The 6,140-nt window shown below is 42.7% G+C and overlaps 1 pseudogene; it reads left to right on the forward strand.

Annotated features, from left to right (window-relative positions):
- On the forward strand, positions 2,542–3,316 carry PSME2P2 (proteasome activator subunit 2 pseudogene 2; annotated as a pseudogene).

Raw genomic sequence — 6,140 nt, forward strand, 5'->3', positions numbered from 1 at the left:
GGGTGCCATTATTTTTTCAAATAGATTCTCTACCCCTTTTTCTTTTTCTTATCCTTTTGGAACTCCCATAATGCACATGTTATTCTACCTGATGGTGTCTCAGAAATCTCTTAGACTCTCTTCATTGTTCTTTTGTTGTTGTTGTTGTTGTTCTGCCTTTTAAAAGTTTTCTATCTTCAAGTTTGTTGATTGTTTCTTCTGCCTAGTCAAGCCTGCTGTTGAGACCATCTAGTAAATTTTTCAATTCAATTATTGTATTCCAGGATTTCTGTTTTATTCTTCTTCATAAATTCTCTTTATTGATATTTTCACATTGTTCATGCATTTCTTTTCTAAGTTTGTTTAGTTGTCAGTCCGTGCTCTCTTTTTATTCATTGAGCATCCTGAAGATAGTAATTTTGAATTGTCTGGTAATTTACATATCTCTGTTTCTTTAAAGTCAGTTTCTGGAGATTTAACTTGTTCCTTTAAAAGTGTCATGGTTCTCTGTCTTTGCATGTTTTGTTGTTTTGTTGCTGCAGTTTCAGCATTTTAAGAATCAGCCAACTCTCCTATTATCTGGTTTTATACATACAGGAATTTCTCCAGTCAGCCAGGCTAGAAATTCTGGAAACTTCTCAAGCATTTTCTGGGTATAAGTCTTTCCTCGGCTTGTGGGTGTAATCTGTTTGAAGACGTTTCCCAACATCTATTCAGGAGCTCTCCCTGGTGTTTGTCTGTGATACTGCAGCCTCTCTGGTGCTGTAGTAAATAGTGGTACTGGAGCTCCACCCAGTGTCTATCTTTGGTACTACTGACTCTGGTGCATAGTTGATCATTGTTCTTGGCAATCCTTAGGTGACCTATTCCAGTCAGTGCAGTCTCAGGCACACAAAAGTCCCTTGGGCAGCATCTCTAAAAATCAGGAGGTCTGATACCCCTTCCACTCCTTTCTCACCTCAAGGAGAAGACAAGAGTTGAGGGTTTCCTCCCAATCACATGTTGGAGTGGGAGGGATGTTCTGATGAGAAAGAATGGAGAATGCCACAGGTTTTTCTACTGGGCTTCAATGTGGTTGGCTTCGTGATCAGTATAAGAACCTTTTAACTGACTTTTGGTTTTCTTACAGAGGCATTTGGTCTGACTGTTGTTGCTAATTTTGTGTCCCGTGGGAGAAGAAGAGACTAAGGCTTTCCGTCCTGCCCTTTTCCTGATGTTTCTCCTCTGATTTTTATAATCAGAAGCACAGTAAAAAAAAAAAAAAAAAAGAAACACACACACTTTTTCTTTCTCATGATCCTCATCTTCCACTACTTTTGACGCCAATGGTTTGAGTTTGATTTCTTTTTTAAGACAAAAATTTATGTTACCAACTACCTGTTTCCATCTTGTTCTTCACATCTGAAGTCATTTTGCTTCTGTTGAGGGTAGCTTGATTCTTCCCTCCCACTCCTCACCCCTGCACCAGGGAACGATCAGGCTGTTAGAACTTTGAGATGGAAGGTTTTCAGGTGCTCAACGTTAACCCCACTGCCAAAGGCCATGGGTGGGTGGTGGGAGGGCATATTTGGAGCAGAGCTGTATGCAGAAGCATGGTCTGAACCCCACAGATACCTATGTCACCTTCCCTGTCAGGAGATATCCAGTGCTATCCAGCTGAGTTCCCAATTCCTAGCTTCAAAGGCCACCCAAGAGTCATTAAGTAGATCAAATAGTGAGATGGTATGAGCTGGGATCACTATGAGACTGCCTCCCCTCAAGGATACTCATGGATCCCCCTATTACCCCCAGGTCTACTCTGCTACTATCATTTAAGTTCACTAGGACAGATCCACTGCGATCTGGGAATTCATGCCTACTTGGTCATTGTGAATTTGACCTTTCTGAATCAAAATCCCAGTTCATAGTTAGACATTTTGTGTTCCTATTTTGAGTTTACATAGTTTGACGATTAATTTTAGGTATTAACTTGACTGAGCCAAAGGATGCCCAGAGAGCTGGTAAACATTATTTCTGGGTATATGTGTGAGGGTATTTCCAGAAGAGTTTCATATTTGAACTGATGAACCAAGTAAAGCAGATCCAAACCACTGAGGGCCTGAATCATCAGAAAGGTGGAAGGAGGAAAAAAATCACCCTCTGCTTGAGCTGAGACATCCATCTTCTCCTGTCAGTGCTCCTGGTTCTCAAGTTTTTGGATTCAGGTTAGGACTTACATCATCACCCCACTTCACACTGGTTCTCAGGCCTTTGAACCCAGACTGAATTACACACTGGCTTTCCTTGTTCTCTAGCTTGCAGACAATAGATTGTAGGAATTCTCTGCCTCCATAACTTTGTGAGCCTATTCCTATGATAAATCTCCTCTTATATTTATGTCTATTTATCTATCTATATATCTATAGATATATATCTTATTGGTTCTGTTTTTCTGGAGAACCCTGATGAATACAAATATTATAGTATCCTAGTACCAGAGCAGTGAGCTCCTTGCAAACTAGAGTCAGAAGGATGTGTTGTCACTGGCAGACATCTCCAGGGGTATCAAGAATACCCCTGTTAGAGACCAGAGATCTAGCAACTGAAGCAGCACGGCCAAGCCATGTAGGGTGCGCCTGAGCGCAAACAGGTGGAGGTCTTCCTTCCTTTTCCAGGAGGCTGAGGAATTCCTCTACAGATTCTTGCCACAGAAAATCACATACCTGAATCAGCTCTTGCGAGAGGGCTCCCTCAGTGTGGCTGACCTGACTTCCCTCCGGGCCCCACTGGACATCCCCAACCCAGACCCTCCACCCAAGGATGATGAGATGGAAACAGATAAGTAGGAGAAGAAAGAAGTCCCTAAGTGTGGATTTCTCCCTGGGAATAAGAAAGTCCTGTCCCTGCTTGCCCTGGTTAAGCCAGAATTCTGGACTCTCAAAGAGAAATTCATTCTGGTGATTACATGGATCCAGCACCTAATCCCCAAGATTGAAGATGGAAATGATTTTGGGGTAGCAATCCAGGAGAAGGTGCTGGAGAGGGTGAATGCTGTCAAGACCAAAGTGGAAGCTTTCCAGACAACCATTTCCAAGTAATTCTCAGAACGTGGGGATGCTGCGGCCAAGGCCTCCGAGGAGACTCATGTAATGGATTACCGGGCCTTGGTGCATGAGCGAGATGAGGCAGCCTATGGGGAGCTCAGGGCCATGGTGCTGGACCTGAGGGCCTTCTATGCTGAGCTTTATCATATCATCAACAGCAACCTGGAGAAAATTGTCAACCCAAAGGGTGAAAAGAAGCCATCTATGTACTGAACCCAGGACTAGAAGGAAAATAAATGATCTATATGTTGTGTCAGAAAAAAAAAAAAAAGAATACCCCTGTTAGTGACAAGGAATTGTTGATTGGGCAGCTACAGAATGTAGCACCCTCTGGAAGCCTAGGCCCAGATGGAAAGAGCAGGAGGACAAGCACACTAAGGAACAAGACATATTGAGTTTACAAATGAGAACACATGAGGCATTGAGCCCTGACAGGGAGGCACTTGTAAGGTAAAAACTGCCACATGCATTCAGGTGGGCGCCCAGTGTGAATAGTAAGCCTATCGGCTGCCTGTGGTGCTTCTAGTCCCTGTCTGAGCTTAGCACCTTAACTAGATGCATATTAGCCCTGGAGGTTGCCAAGACCACAGAGAGGAAGCTGTGTTGAAGAAAGGGAGAATTAACACAGACTTTCTGAGGAGCTTCTGTCTGTTGCCTGGAACAGTCAGGACATCTGAAGGTTGTCAGCTTAATGTCCCCTGCCAGCAAGGAAGGGCTACTATCCAGCAGCTAGTGAGGCAGGCCAACTGCAGGACCTGGGCAGGAATAACTGAGCCCGACATGTTTGTGCTCAACCAGAAGAAAACACATCAGCTCAAGAAGGGGCTGCTGCAGAGGTAGAGTCACTGTGGCAGGCACCCCTTCTGTCCATGAAACATTGGAGAGGAAGGGCTCACTTGTGGTACAGACTAGACTAAAAGCTCTACTGCCTACTATTAAGTTCCCAGAAAGCAGAGACTGTGTGTGTGTGTGTGTGTGTGTGTGTGTGTGTGTGTGTGTGTGTGTGTGTTTAACCACTGTGTCTGCAGTCCCAAGACAGTATCTGAAACATTACAGATACTCAGAAAATATTAGTTGTCCTGCAGGAGAAACAAATGGAGTGGAAAACTACAGGGTAGAAAATCTGCAAGTGAGCATGGACCATGTCTTACTTACCTCTATTCTGTGTGATCCAGATTCCAGGCCTTTCTGAGTATGTGACTTTGGATAATTTACAACTTCTCAGAACTTTTTTTTTTGGTTTTCATTTTATTTAGTTTTGTTTTCATCTGAAAGGTGAAGATTATACTTATCTGGTTCTTGAAAAGATTAAATGAGATAATATATATTGAAGTGATTTGTAAACTGTGGAGTGCTATAATAAATGTTAGCCTTTGCTGTTTTTTTGATGATGGTGATGACAAAGATAACAATGATAATGACGGGTTTCTTTTAGAAAAAATGGTTTGAAGTGGTGAGTGAACTTTACAGATGTTCAGCTGTGGAACAGGGGTATCTGTGCTGACAGGAAAAAAAGAGTGCACAGAAGAGAGGCCCCAAAGCAGGATTTTGCTCACATGGCTTGTGTAATTAGTTATCCTTTATGTGTGTTAGTTTTGAACTGCAGATTAGAGAAATCCATCTAAGGCAAGGACTGTCTTTTGCTTTTTTTCCCCCCACACACACACTACATGGTATATTGTTTATAGCAAGCAGTAAACATTTGTTGGGGGAAAAAAATGAATGAATGATTTGATGAAGGGTGACAGAGCTACAGCAGCTAGAGAGAAACAAGAATATTAGTTGAGCAGAGATTGTTCTCTGGAAGTAATTTGTTCAGGCAGAATCAAAACTCATCTTGACACTTCCTGATTTTAAAACTCTGAGGCTCTTCATCACTCAAAAATAAAACCCAAGCACATTAGTAGGGCATAGAAAGTCCTTCATAAGCTGGATCCAACCTTTCTCTCTGGTCTCATCTCCCATTACACCATCTCCCCAAACCCCAGTTCTTCCACAGTTGTCTTAACTTATCCTATCTTCTAATGGTGCTGAACTTCTTAGAGTCCCTGAGATATGCTAGGTCTTTTCACTAGCTGTTTCCTCTCCCTGGAAAAGTTCTATGCATCTTTCAGGGTATAGCATCAATGCTTCCTGCTGTGAAAGTGTTCCCTGATGTCCCCAGGCATTTATTCATAGAACAAGTATTTCCTTTGCACCCACTATGAATTAGACCCTGTTCTAGGTCCTGGACATAGCAGTGAACAAATCAGACTAAGTCTCTTCCCTCATGGAGTATTTATTCTAATGGAGGGGACTAAAAATGAAAGAAAGACAATATATACGATGTTAGGGAATGGCAAAAATGAAGAGGATGGAAATCTGGGGAAGAGGATGAGGGAGCCATCTCATTTATGTAAACTATGATGTATTAGCAGAATAGACTAGGTTATGTTGCAATAGCAAACAATTCTCTAAAATCTAAGTAGTTTATAACAACAAAGATTTGCCTCTAGCTCATGCTTCATGACCACTGAAGGTCAGCTGAGGCTTAGCCCCACTCGAGAAATAGGCCTGAGCAAACATTTCTAGTTGCCCCAGCAGAGACTAAAGAAAATGAAGCAAAGCATGCACCAGCTGTTAAAGGTTTTACCTGAAAATGGCACATCACATCTGCTCACATTTCTTTAGCCAAAATGAGTTACATGGCCACACCTGCATTCAATAGGACATGGAAGAGCAATTCTACTATTTTCCCGAGAGGCAAGAGAACCAAACGTGTATGAATAGCCCTAATGATTGCTATACACATAATCAAGGAAGTCCTTTCTGATAAAGAGACATTTGAACAGAAACCTCGAGAGAGTGAGGAGTTAGCTGGTAGATAGAAGATGGGACTCATTTCTCTGGCTTCCCATCCCAAACAGCTTAGGGTCATCCTTGACGCTTTCTCTGCCTTTCACAACCCACGTACAACCCATCAGCAAATCCCATTGGCTAGACCTTTATAATGGTCCCGATTTGACCACTGCTCACTGCCTCCTCCTCCTCCTCTGGTCCAAGCCTCATCATCTCCCTCTGCGTGATTGCAGTAGCCTC

Source organism: Homo sapiens, chromosome 13 (assembly GCF_000001405.40).
Source record: "Homo sapiens chromosome 13, GRCh38.p14 Primary Assembly".
Classification (NCBI taxonomy): Eukaryota; Metazoa; Chordata; class Mammalia; order Primates; family Hominidae; genus Homo; species Homo sapiens.